This window comes from Homo sapiens, chromosome 1 (genome assembly GCF_000001405.40).
Source record: "Homo sapiens chromosome 1, GRCh38.p14 Primary Assembly".
NCBI classification, from domain to species: domain Eukaryota; kingdom Metazoa; phylum Chordata; class Mammalia; order Primates; family Hominidae; genus Homo; species Homo sapiens.
Window position 1 is genome coordinate 71,664,920 of NC_000001.11, and position 15,022 is coordinate 71,679,941.

A 15,022-nucleotide genomic window follows, 5' to 3' on the forward strand; every position below is an offset into this window, starting at 1 on the left:
GTATAAACATACATTTTCTATTAAACCTTCCTTTGGAATGACTATCCAAATGTGGAAATGACTTAAGTCCAACAATATCAGGCCAAAGTAAAATAACTGTCAAAAGGTTAGGTCAGCAAAAGAAAATTTAATAACAGCATATCAAATATTTACCAAAGCTATTTGCAAAGTTAAATCATTCATGAAAATATATTAAACACTTTTAAATAGGCTGGCTTTCATGTGAAAAATGAAGGATACTTAAAAGTAAAAGTATAATATTCTGCAATAATAAAGCTAATTTTTCTAAAACTATAGTTTTCTTTACACAGCATTTTCATTCATCTTTGCTGTCTGGGGATAAAAATACACTTCACCTCAGTTAAATTCTGAAGTTCAATGTACTTCCTATTGACTTTAAATTACAGAGAACTTGTGGAGTTCCTGCAAAGAAAATAGAGGTATATGTTAAACATGGGGAAATGGGCAGGGTTACAATATCCCTGAGAGATTTCTATTAAGCCTGTGCCATATTCATTCTATAAACATGTGTTGGATCCTGCCATGTGACAAACAGGAGGATAGATGCAAGGACTACAACATGGTTTCCCCACTTGAGAAACTCATCTTCAGCTTTGCTTGAATACTTGCAGTGACGTAGCACCCACACTCAATAAGCAGCCTGTCCCATTGTTGAACAATTCTAAATTAGAGAGATTTGTTTCCCTTACATTGAGCTCCATCATTCTTCACTAAACTCTTAACCATTCATTCTAATTTTTTCTTTGAATCTACACCAGTGTTTATTCCTCTTTTCATACAGTGGAGCGCCATTTATTTGGAGACTGATTATAGCTTCCTAAAGCCTTGTTTTTCTGGAATAAACATTCACAATTAATTAAATTATATCTTATAGATAGAACACGTGTTCCATACCTCCTATGGCTCTAGTTATCCTCCTCTAAGAGTATGCATTTTGTTTTGAACCTCAGTTGGTTCTTTGGTGCCTACAAGATAAAGTCAAAATTCTTATACAGGACTCATTCATTTCTTAAATGAGTAAATGTGTTTATTTGACAGAGCTTGTGCTTGATGTCTTGGATTCAATAAAAAACTAGAGACAGCCTCTACCTTCAAGAAGTTAACGGTTTAGTCAACTGTCTCATTCCATGTTACCCTCCACTAATATTAAACACTATCACTGTTCCTCCATGTGAATGCACAAATGAACGTAAATACTTCAGATAATCTGATTTTCTAAAACTTACCATCACTCAAGAACATTATATATGACTCACTTGCAAGTGATAGTTCTATTTTTTTTACAATTTTTCTATTACGAAAATAGTTAAAATGCTTTTTTAGGATTTTCAAGACCACTCCTAACAATAGTCATTTGCATTAAAAACACGGGTCTCAAACGAAAATAATTCCTTTCTTGAAGCCACAGGCTAAGAAGGCCCTTGGTTGTAAATGTGTAAAAAGTACCCATCATGGAAATAGAATAGTAAATTGTTTTAGAAGCTAAAGCATAGGCACTCAACCAGCATTAAAAATGAAACATACAAACACCCACCTTGGATCTGTTACTGCAGATCTTTATTTCAATTGAGGTATAGAATAGGCAGTGTTTACCTTTGGAAATACCACTGAAGCCTTTCACAAACATATGTACCATGTCCATCGCTAAATATTTCAAATCTGAACTGCAATTATATTGGGATTTACTACAAATCTATCTAGCAGTGTTAACTACTCAGTAGTAAAAGTTCACTCTCCTTTTGTTCTGTAAATTTATGGCAAAGTATAGATCTTGTTGTTTCTCCAAAGGTTTAACATACCAGAAAAAGTTCTGCAGACAGGGCTGAGTAACTCCTGGATTTCATCATACTTTAAAGTATAATTTTGAATGATTTTTTTAAGTTTCATTGCAAACCACATTCAACCCAAGATTTATTTTTCTACTAAAGCCATTCTATTATTTTCCAACTATAAAAACAGTCAGAAAAATGTCTCATGACCTCATACTTAACCAATTTCCAGTTTTCTGCAAGCATCTATCTGTAGATATTAACAAATATTTTGTCTGGTATTAACATTTCTACTATTATAGTATACATTTCTACAGGAAAAAAATTATATCTGGTCATATAATGAAGTCCATAACACAAAAGAAATGTGAGCAGGGCTGTACAGAGAAGGCAGTGTCACCCATGTTACACGTGCCCTAACAGAACAGGTGAGTAAACAGAATTTTAGCAAATGCAAAAATCACATAATTTATTCCTTGGTAGGTGTAAGGTTAGAAACACAAGAGTTTAGTCTTCGATGTGACTCTTGTGAATCAGTTGAAAAGTAAATTCTGAATGTTTTTAGTAATTCAATACAACCTGCCACAATGACAGTCAAATCTGGTTTCTCAGAATGGTAATGAATTAAGCTCTTCTGTGCAATTATGCAATAAAACCAAGGTCTGTGAAATACACAGAAGCGAGACTGTGAATGATAGCTCTAGAAATATGACACCAGATGGAAAAATCAGTGTTGCAATCTGGTGGCATGAGGGACAGAGCCCTGGGTGGGATTGGGAGATCTGGGTTCTAGCTCCAATTCTACACCCTGGTGTCTGGTAAGAGACAGCTGTGTAAATGGGGGAAAATGTAGTACAGAGTTTCTGGGAAGGTCTTAAAGAAAATAGTCTTTTACTTCATAATTTTGTTCAAGGCAAAGAGGAAGCCAGAATAATGTGTCTCAACAGTGTGTTGTTTGATCAAATCTTACTAAAATTTTTAATTTACCATTGAATTTAGTATAGCAAAATTTCTAAAGGCACAATCTCCAAAGCTTGACTATCGGGTTCAAATCTTTCCTTATCCTCACTAGCTTTGTGAGTGTGGGCAAGCTATTTAACTCCTAGTGTCAGTTTCTCACTTGTAAAATAAGGGTCATATTAGGTTGCAAAGAATTAATCTTTGCTCAGAGCTTACAAAAATATTTTGCATGATTTATGCACTGTATACATTTTAACTATTATAGGTATTGTTAATACATATGAAAGTAGCATATAATGTAGTCATAATACATATGAATGTATTATAACTAAATCAGTTTATGTTTTTTCCCTTTTTTGCCAAGATACTCAATATTTTCTGTTATCTATTTTTTGTCTTTAAATACATGCTAGGAACTAACAGTTGAAACCATTATTTTCATTGGGTTTAACTAAATATTTTCCTGATAGGAATATCTTTTTTGTGTGTCATCTGGTCATGTTTGAACAACCCTCAGTTTATCACAGAGGTTCATTCAGCTGGTAAATTGTCCATTACCCTTGCTCTTCTTTCTCGTGGGAGAAGAATGCATCCATATTTGGCCAGAGAAAACTGAAACTCCTTTTATTAGAGGAAGAGCCAGGTAATTAAAGCCTGTGCCGTTCCCTGGGTAGCAGTGGAAGCAGCAATTGAGAGCTAGAATGTCATCTTTTTGTTACTGCCAGGCTGATAGAGGAGGATAGAGCCAAATGCTTTTTAGTACAACGATGAGCAAACAGGAGAATTAAAAGTTAGGGTTAGGGCTCATTGGATAACTATTCTTTTTTTAATTGATAGAATATTTGCCTTTGAGAGAGAAACGTCGTTAAAGCTTCATTGGTACTGGAAATAGCAGTTCCACAGGTCTCAGTAGTGGGAAGATAAAACGTGACTGAAAGGACTTATATTCACTTTATCTTGGGGCCTAGAGTGCATCCTTTACCTAGAGCCTGAAAACATCAGATATCTAGATGACAACTGATATTTCCTGGAAACCCAGGAAAAGAACAAAAAATGAGAATGCCTTGTGTAGAAGGGTTGGCATTTTCGTAAGGCAGGGGAGAAAGTCTTGCAGAAGGACATACCTGTGATTTTTGGTGAGAATATAAGGATGGAGAGCTAGGCAGGGAATGGAGGGAATGTTCCCAAGGGCAGTCTGCTTGGCGTGAGCTAACATCTTGACATGTGTCAACGTATGTTGACTGTGTTGTTTTATATAATTCCTGATTTTTTTTGGTTTGCTTGTTATATCATTTATCTGCTGAGAGAGGTTTGTGAAAGTCTTCCAAATGACTGTGGATTTGCCTATATCTCCTTTTACTTATATCAATTTATGCTTTATATATTGCAATGTTGTGTAATTGAGTACATGTAGATTTAGAATTTTTATATATTCCTAGCTGTAGACCGCTTTAATATTATAAAATGTCCCTTTCTTCTCATAATGCTTCTTAGCTTAAAGTCTAATTTGATATTAGTAAAATTATACCAACATTTATTGGTTCATGTTTCATGATCTATCTCTTTCTATGCTTTTAAATTCAATGCAGGATCCTGCTATTTAAAGTGTGTCTGGACAGTCTTTTAATTAGAATATATATTCTATTTACTTTTAATGTATATAATAAAATGTTTGGGTATATAGCTATCATAATTCTACTTGTTTTTTAAAATCTACTTATTTTGTGTTCCATTTTCTCTTCTTTTTTACTTTCTGTAGAGTAGCTATTTTTATTATATTATTCTTTCTCAATAACTTTTTTAGTTTAGAATATGTTACTGTCTTTTGATGTTTTTACTGGATAGTCAAGCTTGCAGCCTTGAATTACTGAAGTTAAATTTCAATTATTACTTTTACAATTTCACCTACAATGCTAGGGCCTTAGGACACTTTAGTTTTATTATTCTTACTTTTATGTCATTGCCACCATATATTTTAATGCTACGTAACTTTTTTTTTTGAGATGGAGTCTTGCTCTGTTCCCAGGCTGGAGTGCAGTGGCGCGATCTCGGCTCACTGCAACTTTCGACTCCCTGGTTCAAGCAATTCTCCTGCCTCAGCCTCCTGAGTAGCTGGGATTACAGGCATGTGCCGCCATGCTCAGTTAATTTTTGTATTTTTAGTAGAGATAGGGATTTCACCAGGTTGGCCAGGATGGTCTCGATCTGACCTCATGATCTGCCCACTTTGGCTTCCCAAAGTGCTGGGATTATAGGCGTGAGCCACCGCACCTGGCCAATCCTAGGTAGTATTTTAATATTCTAAAACATTATTACTAGTGTTTGGGATGGTCATTATTTGTTTATATATACTACATATTTACCCTTTCCATTATTCTTCATTCTTTCCTTCCTTTCTCCGTTACCATTTGTGATTATTTTTCTTCTGCCTGAAGAACATTTTTAGGTTTTCTTCCAGGGCTCATCTACCAGTGATGAATTATCTTGGCTTTGCTTTATCAGAGAGTATTCTTATTTGTTTTTATTTTTGAATAATCTTATAGGGAATATACAGTTCTAGTTTGTGCTTTTTTAAGCAATTTAATGTTATCTTTCCATGTTCTTATAGATTTCATTAATTTGTTGAAAAATTTGCTGCCTTGTTAATGTTCTTTTGAAGATATTGTGTGTGTGTTTGTGTGTGTGTGTGGTTGTTTTTAAGATTTTCTCACTGTATTTGTTTTTCAGAAGTTTGCCTATGATGTACTTAGCATAGATATCTGTGTATTATCCTTCTGGTTCATACATTTTTTGTTGTTGTTCTTGAAACCTTGAGTTCATGTCTTCCAACAATTTTGAAAAAGTCTTAGCTATTATGAGTCAAACAATTTTAATAAGTTGTAACAGTTTTTTACTTTTTTTTTTGAGATGGGGGTCTCACTCTGTTGTCCACACACAATTTCAGCTCACTGCAACCTCTGCCTTCCTGGCTCAAGTGATCCTCGAGTCATGAACATGGTTGTGTGCCAGGCTTAATTCTTCACCAGTATTTTCTTTCTTGGATCGTGAATCTTTACACATCCATTTTGTCTCCTCAGCTCTGGAAAAATTTCAACAACAATTCTGTTTTTTTCTGGCCCATAGATATGTCTCTCTGATCAAATCAGTATTCTCAGGCTCCTGCCCTCAACCTCAAATCAGCAGATGCCTAGAATAAAAAAGGCTGCAGAATGCTAACTCACAACACACACACACACATACACACACACACACAGAGTATTTGCCTCAGTGGCTTTTTGATGCCTTTAAATAATTTTTTTGGTGAATTTCATTATGAGCATGAGTCTACCTCAAAGCACTTTGTCACTGTTGGACACTGAACTCAAAGAAGGTGAAATTTTAATATGCGAATTATAACTATTTATTGTTATATTTTTATACTTTAACTTTGCAGTAAAAGAACTTTATATTGTCATCACTATTAGGTTTGTTAGTCTACTTGAGGTTGATGGGACAATATGATAGGGAAAGGTGAGAACAATTCCACTTGATTTGTCGTGGTTCCAGAATATAAGAGACTGTGGTCCTGTAATGTATGATTAACCTTGCTCCTGGCAGTAGAGGGCTAACTCACTTGGACACACTGGAGAAGACCAAAGAGGAAGAAAAAGTAAAGAGCAACCTTCAGACTGCCCTTAGTAAACATCATCTTTGAGGGGTAAACAGGGTAAAATGAAGGAAACTGGCAAAACCTGGGCTACACTTTTAATAATGCACTGAAATAAGGGGAAATTGATAGAAAGAAAGCATAAATGATACAGTTTGAAAGACAAATATGTAAACAAAGAGGAAATAACAGGAATAAAATTGTAAAGGGAAAAAACTATTTTAGGGTATTATACTCAAGTAATGATTTCCAGGTTATTGTTCATAAGCCAGCCATCTTGCCAAGTTCATCACAATCTCAACTCCATCTTGGTCAGCCATCCTTTATCTTTCATCACATTGCCATTACAGTGTCTGTATCTGATTGTCTGATAAATACCATGGCCAGGGTTCTTCTCACTGGTCTCTATTCTGTTCAACCTTCTTTGACTGCAACTGTACTTTGGCAATCATGGGTCCCCGTTAGTACCCAATTAATCATACTTGCCAGACAACATCTTATTTAACTACTCTCACTGGATGTTTTATTATTTTTGTTTCAATTTTGAAGGCATATTTTATTTCTGTTCTCTCTCTCTCTTTTTTTTTTTTTTTTTTGTTTTAAGAGACAGCTCTCATTCTATTGCCTAGGCTGGTCTCAAACTCCTGTCCTCAAATGATCCTCCTGCCTCAGCCTCGCAAAGTGGTAGGATTACAGGTGTGAGCCTTCACACCCAGCCCTACTTCTGCTCTCTATTTCAACCATAGTAAAAACTCTACTATTGAAAGTAACATTAGTGATACGGAGCATGCCAAATATCTGCTATCATAGCTAAATATATTCAAAGATTGAAGGCTTACCAGTTCATTATTGGTTTCTGGATTTAATACCTTGCTGTTGAGAAAGTTTGGGGATATAAACCATAGACACAATAGTCACAATGTTATCGCTTTGTAAAAAAAATTAAGAATGCTTTGGGTGAAGACAAAATTAAATTAGATAAAATTATTGCATTCATTAAAAATTAAAACATGTGACATCTTTGTAACATTTAGAAAGTTAAGACACTCATGAGTAGCATTTAAAACATACATTCCAAAGATTATCTATTGTATTCCAAAGATTATCTATTCTATTAAGGCAGAGACCAAGTCAATCTTGTTCACCATTGTATATCCAGATCCTGGCAGAGTGATATATTATAAATCCTTAATAAATATTTGTTAAATCAATCAATAAATGAAAGGGAAATGGTGGTGTCAGCAGGGTCAATTAATCAGTGTGCTAGTCTCCAAAATATCTCAAAGTCCTTAAAATGGGGATATGATCTGTGATTACCCAATAAAGGGAAACAGTGCTCAATGTTTGCCAAACTTAAGTTTCAGAATAGCACCTTGTGGTAAGCACTTTGACAGACTTAAAAAAAATAAAAAACCCAGGGCTATTCCTTGAGACAAAGCTAAACTGACATCAGAAAAATATAGTTGGTGTCAATAAATTATAAAATAATAAAACTAACAGATCATGAATGAGCTAGGATGAGAGTATGTTAAATTGGGAATTAATGGAATCCAGCACACAACACCTAACGGCTTGGCGGGATGTTGAGGACATTGTGGGATTTGAACCCAACAAAAGCCACTTAGAAACTGTATCCATGGCCGGGTGCGGTGGCTCATGCCTGTAATCCCAGCACTTTGGGAGGCTGAGGCGGGCGGATCATGAGGTCAGGAGATCGAGACGATCCTGACTAATACAGTGAAACCCCATCTCTACTGAAAATATAAAAACAAAATTAGCCTGGCATTTTGGCGGGCGCCTGTAGTCCCAGCTACTTGGGAGGCTGAGGCAGGAGAATGGCGTGAATCCAGGAGGCAGAGCTTGCAGTGAACCAAGATCATGCCACTGCACTCCAGTGCATCTCCAAAAAAAAACAACCCAAAAAACTGTATCCATATACTATGTCCAGGACATCAGCCTATTATCATACTAATGGGTATCTTTGTAAACAAGTTAACCAGGCATTGAAGTGTAGACAAGAGAGTCCATATATATTATCCTTTGTTCACACTTTATCAATTCAACATTCAACAGAAATATGTTTAATTCCTTTTTCATGTCTGACACTGAAGATACACAGTAAATTTTAATACAACTTGGTTCCTGCTTTTATGGAGCTTATGATTTAATATAAGAGACAGCTAGGAAAACAAATTACTCTAATAAAGCATTATAGGATCTAGGATGGTTTGTTCATGAATATCAGTTCCCTCAAAATTGGAAACATTATTTCTCTTAAGGGAGAATATTTTTTCCCTTAAATATTGAAAGTAAAGTATACCAAAAATTCAGAAATCCTCAAACAATTTTAGTCCCAAATAATCTGTTTTAGGACACTAATGGGCATGTTACATTTAACTTGTGACAATATGTGAAGCAATCAAATCAATGCTTATAGTAATTACACAGAGCAGAAGCCCATATGCATTTATTTCCATTAATGATATTTTTTTTTACTAACGAATAAATATTTGTCAAGCTTCTACTATGCTCTAAACACAGTTCTATGGAGCTCAGTCTTTATGGAGAACATAGACATGTGGACGAATTACAGAGAAATTTAGAGGTTACTGTTAGAAAACATTTTTGTACTTTTTTGAATTTTTACAATTAAATATTAGTATTAGTTTTATATTAATATAAGAATACAACTGTTGGTATTTAACGTGAAAAATAATCTCTCAACATTTTCTTTCTTAACACTAAAAACACAGCTTTGAAAATTGTATTTATTTCTCAAAAGTCATATGCTGGGTAGCACCATTTATTTCTTCTATTATCAGACAAATGAGTGACCTAGATATATTCTTCCCAGGTTGTTAATAAAATATGTTTATAAACTATCTGGAAGTTTCACTTCTTTCCACTCAAATGCAAACATCTATATAAAATCAACATCTATCACCATTTTAAATAAGTCAAAGAATGAGTCATGTAATTTGTCACCTGCAGAAATACCTTGATAACTGCAAAATGAGCATTAAATCAATGAATCAAATATGCAAGAAAATCTCAATCCAGGACACACTGATACTGCCCATGCACGTATTATTGCATTCACTAGACATTACAGCTTACTGAACTATTCCTTTCTCATAAAAGATGGCATATATTTTGTTGCCTATGCTGTTTAGACTTTGTATTACATTAGCTATATAACAATTCTAGGTAGTGAATATTTTCATAATCCTTTGGCCCAATCGAAATACTCTGCAGGCTTTTGCTGGGAGGGCACACACACACACACACACACACACACACACACAAATGTATACAGTACTTAGCACTGTATTCTAAAATGTGTGATGTTCCGGTTAGCTTTTTCAATGAGTTAAGAGGACAAATGTGTAGACGAGATTGCTTTCAATGAACAATGTTCTTTCTATCACATTCTTTGATGTCACTCAGATGTAACCTTATCAGAAAGGGCTTCTCTGAACATGTTATGTAAAATAGAGTTTCTGTATCACTTTTTATCTAACTTTTACTTTTTTTCTTTCATAGCATGAATCACTATCTGGCATAGGATATATTTGTTTAATGTATGTTTTCATCCAACAGAATGTAGGCACCTTGAAACCTGCCTGTTTTGTATTCTTAGCAACCTTACCTAACACTTGTAACATTCCAACACTGAATAAAGAAAAACTGAATATATACCAGATGTTGTATATATTGCATAAATATATATGTGATACATACGTATGTGATCTATATATGTGATCTATATATGCAATATATAAAATGCATGTTTATTCATATATATATATATACACACACACATATGAATTCTTAGAAGCAATATTTAAAGCAGGTGTTAGCATGCCCGGTTAATAATTAGGGAAATAGCATTCAGTTAAGTAAACCTTCAGGTATAGAGTTAAGTGCCTTTGAACTCAGGTCTGGTCTGACACTAGACCTACTACTCACTTTGCATGAATACCCAGGAGTCCTTGCATAAAAACATCCATGGCATTCTGAGTCACTCTATGGGAGCAGTACAAGAATAATTTCCCATTCACCACTAGATCAGCAAGAAGAGAGAGAAAGGTATATATAGATGTAGATATATAGCTATAGATATATACAAATATAGATATAGATATATGTGTATATCTATATATCTATATGTATCTCCCTCTCTCACTCTCTCTCTCTCTTTATATAGAGAGTGAGAGAGAGAGAGAAAGACAGACAGAGAGAGAGAGAGACAGAGAGATAAAGAGAGCATGCATGAGGAAAAATCTGTTCTTGGCATCTGGGATTATGAGTTTGAACTTGGATTGTAGTTTTCAAAGAGATAGTTAGAAACTGACGTGTACTACTAAGAGGAAACCAAACATGAATAGGGTATACAGAAAAAGAAACCAAGTTCTTGTTCAAAGGGACATAATTTCAGTCTCTCTAGTTTTTTGGTTTTTGTTGTTGTTGTTTGTTTTTTGTTTTTTGTTTTTTTTTTCCTTAAGAGACAGGGTCTTGCTCTGTCACCCAGGCTGGAATGCAGTGTTGTGATCATAGCTCACTGCTGCCTCTGACCTCCTGGTCTAAAGTATCCTCCTTCCTTGGCCTCTCAAAGTGCTGGTATTATAGGTGAAAGCCACCTGCCTGGACCGATTTTAGTTTCTATACAGATACTAAACAGGTGTTTGACTTCCACCATGTTACCTACCAAATTTTATAGAATTCAGTTATTACATTTGCAATATAAAATAATATTTACAATGTAGGATGACGATGAGAGTTAAAATAATCTTATTTTGTATGTAAGTATTTTGTAAGGTCTAAATTTTAATTAATCTTATTTGGGAAGAGGGTTCCAAGCCACTAAGGACACTTTTTGTGTGTGTGTGAACATACTGTGAATTAGGGACCATCATTATTTTGGAAGTTATTATTAAGAAAAATGTTCTTCTATTATGCCTCAGAGGTTTTGTGGTTTAATTATGAAAATATGGGGAGTCAATGTCTTCTAAATTTTAACTCTCAACTAAAAACTATTATCGTCTGGTAAAAAAATGATCTTGTGGCCTCATTTCATATCTTTGCTAAACCTCAAGCACCAGTGCGCTACAAACAATAGAAATCCATACAAATATGGTAGCAGTACAATGAAATGATTGCTGTAAGACAAGGAAACAGCAACAATAACAATGAACTATAAGTGATCTCCCATGCAGTAGGATTCCTTCAACCATTGTTGGGTGTCAGAAATTTCTTCAACCGTTGTTGGGTGTCTTGCTTGGTAAAAATTTTCTAAGCAGATATCTCCACCATACTGCTAACCATTATCTCTTCTCAATGTAACCCACAGGGTGTGTCACAGGACTTTGCTTACTACTCTTTTCTTGTCAGATATAGCTGTCTGATAAAACAGATAAAAATGTCAAATAATTTACTCTCTAAGCCCCCTTTATAGATCATGGATGCAAGAAAGAGAGAAGAGATATTTCAAAAAAATTCTGAGTGAAGGAGGACATTTTAAGCAAACAGCTATTAGAATGCAAATGATAAATGTCATGACTGGCAATCACCCAGCATATTAAGACTGAGGGTAGCTCATTTGGTAGATTTTCACTGGAAGGAGTGTAAGTTGCAGTTTAAAGCTTGGGCTTTCCAATTAGACATATCACCCTTCCCATTATGAAGTGTATGACCAACTATGTGTGAGTTACTTGAACTTCATTTATTTCATCTGTGAAATGGAGATAATGATATCTACTCTCTTGGTTTATTGTAAAGATTAAATAAGATAATATATGTAGGCTGTTTAGCTCCAAGCTGGTGCATTGTTGGCCTTCTATAATGATGGTCATTATTCTGCCACACATGTTCACAGGGCAGCCCTCTGTTTCCATTTCCATCCTCCATGATTCATTGATGGTGACAGGAGCCATTTGTTCCCACAATCTGGTCTCCGGATAGGATAAAATCGTAATTTACTACCACCCAGACAGCATTATCTTTACTGCATGCTTCTTAATGATTAACAATCAATTACAATATCATCCTTTAAATCCAATTCATAGCACTGTCAAATGATTATGTACTATAATTAAATTAATGATATTGAACTTTAATTTGAGTTGCATGGCTGCTTTTATTTGATTTCTGCTACACTCACTGAGTGAACATTGGGTTCTTGTGTAAAGTTATCATATTTATTTTACAGCCACAAAAGAGCAAACCCTTAATATAATTTAAAAAGATAACCACAAATAGGAATATTTCCACATGAGCCCATTTGGAGGTTCACATTTGCTATTCATTAATTTAGGCTTTGACAATTTAACATAAATTAAAATAAAAGCCTGTTTCACGGAGCATGTGTTTCATTCTTCACTGTCTCAGCATGACCACGCTGATTCTGGGGTTTAGTAATGTCCTTAAACATAATTTACAAGTGAGAAAGTTAGTGAGGCTGGAGGAATGCATGTATAACTTGCAGTCTAGCTTCGTATGACATTAAAATCTTGTTAATCTGAGACTCGAGTTGTGAAGAAAGAATCAAGATTATTAAGCATAAATCAACGTTTGCCTTATAAAATGCAATGGAATATGCTAATAAGATTTACTGTTAACAGGAAGTTGGATTATAACTTATCTATTTTAAGTCAGTTTGAACATTTGCCTCAAAATTTGTGTCCTGAGATGGACTGAGCCTCAGATTCCATTACTTTATTTTTTATTTTTACAGAGCACATGCAGATACATGATGACAGATCATGACAGATCTGTAGGGCATGGTAAAAAAAAGAAGAAGTATGCACACACCTCCAAAACAATGTATGTAAACAAATTACAAAATATGCATAATTGTACTTATACTACAAGGAAAGATAGGAAGCTCATTGTTTGTGTCTAGTTCAAGGTAATCAAAAGGGGGTAAAGGCAATTTTGAACCAGATAATTTTCATATATGTATTTGGAACATTGAGCAAGTATGAACATATGTAAACTGAATATATTAATAGCTTTTCTCTTTACTACTTTACAATGAAGCTTAGCATCTGTTTTGTCAGTTAATTATATGTCATGGTAAAAATGTGATTTATTCTATAACAAAACAAGTATAATACAGTAAGTAATGAACTTTTTGTTCAGAATTTATCTTAAATGCTCACATGTGGACACTCCCCGAGTGATTGGCCATCAACACATTTAATAATATTCCCTTACTTACTGCTTGGCAGGTCCACCCAGAGCAAGTCTAGTTTAAATGGCTACACCAAAGTATTCAGTTGTACATGCATATAACACCTATGAGTGGACATTTCCTTCCACTATAAACAGGCTATCAGGAATGTGCCACTTTTGTCTTATTTGTTCAACATTTTGTTCAACAGTTACTTGTTGGTTACTAGGCACAGTATTGAGAGCAGAGTTGGAATTAGCCCATTACTGGAAAGCAGAAAAAAGTCTTCAACATGATGTATTCAGAGTTTTTAAAATGGCAAATTCGGGGAACTGAAAGTACCTTTGTGAGGATGGGATACCATATTGAGAAAAGCAAGGAAAGGGGAGTTTCAAAGGCAGCCGAGCAAACAGAGGCGGCATCAAGAAGAGGCTAAATGTGCCAGTCAAAGGACTAACACTCTATCCTGAAGAATGGAAAACCACTGAAGATGTTTAAGCAGGACAGTGACGGTATCAAGTTTGTGTTTTGTAAAGATTGCTCTGGAAGTGACGTGGAGGAATTGAAAATGAAACAGATCTGGCTTGGAGTTGCAGCTTTAATTTTGCCCATAATTTTGTTTCTTGTCTCTCTATTGCTCTATTTATCTTTCCTTCTACTAACATCACATTGTATAATTACAATGATGTTATCCTGTCTATCCATGCTTCTTTAGGAATGGATGGAGTCTTCTCGAATTCTTGCTTTTTCATGTTAATTTTAGAATCAGTTTTTAAAGTTCAACAAAATACCTGTTCAAATTTTGAATGAAATTGTATTTAATTCACAGATCAATTTGAGGACAATCAACATTTTTACTACATTTATAATGACTTTTCATATCAAAAATATAGTATACTTTTCATTTAACATCTCTTAAATTCATTTTAATAATCTTTTTTATAAAAGATTTGCACATTTTCTCTGATATAATTTTACATATATTTGCCATTGTAAATTAAATGTAAAAATTATAATTTCTGATTGTTACTGGTTTATTCAGCATCACTGCTAAACTCTTATTAATTGAAATAATTTTTTTTGGTTTTACAGTACAGAACACAATATCATCCACAATGCAGAACATAAATCAGCCACACATAGAGGCAATTTGGCAGCTTTTTATTTTCCTTTTTCAGTTCTTATGCTTTTTATTTATTCTCCTTTTTACTACAATGGTAAGAGCCTCTATTGAAAGGTTCAGTATGAGATGCTGATGTTCAAGTCTTTTCCCTGATCTGAAAGAGAAAGCAAATAATTTTTCAATATTAAGGTGTTTAATGTAGATATTTTTATATGCCACTCATCAGGTTAAGTCCTCTTCTCTTCATAGTTTACTAAGAGTTTTTATGATAATATGTTGTTTTATTAATTTTTTTCTTGAATTTATGAAATGACCTATGGTTTTTCTCCTTT

The 15,022-nt window shown here is 34.3% G+C and overlaps 1 protein-coding gene across 4 annotated transcripts in view; it reads right to left on the reverse strand.

Annotated features, from left to right (window-relative positions):
* NEGR1 (neuronal growth regulator 1) overlaps positions 1–15,022 on the reverse strand; it is an 886,597-nt gene that overhangs the window by 268,977 nt on the left and 602,598 nt on the right. Inside the window, exon 5 of one of the 4 annotated variants that reach the window (XM_017000961.3) lies at positions 1,557–5,829. The exons of 2 other annotated variants lie outside the window; for them this stretch is intronic. In XM_017000961.3, the coding sequence (XP_016856450.1) occupies positions 5,828–5,829 (2 nt within the window). In that variant the 3' untranslated portion in view covers positions 1,557–5,827. Of the gene's footprint in view, positions 1–1,556; positions 5,830–14,711; positions 14,845–15,022 lie in introns of those variants that run through there. One more of the 4 variants, XM_011541201.4, reaches the window with a different exon arrangement.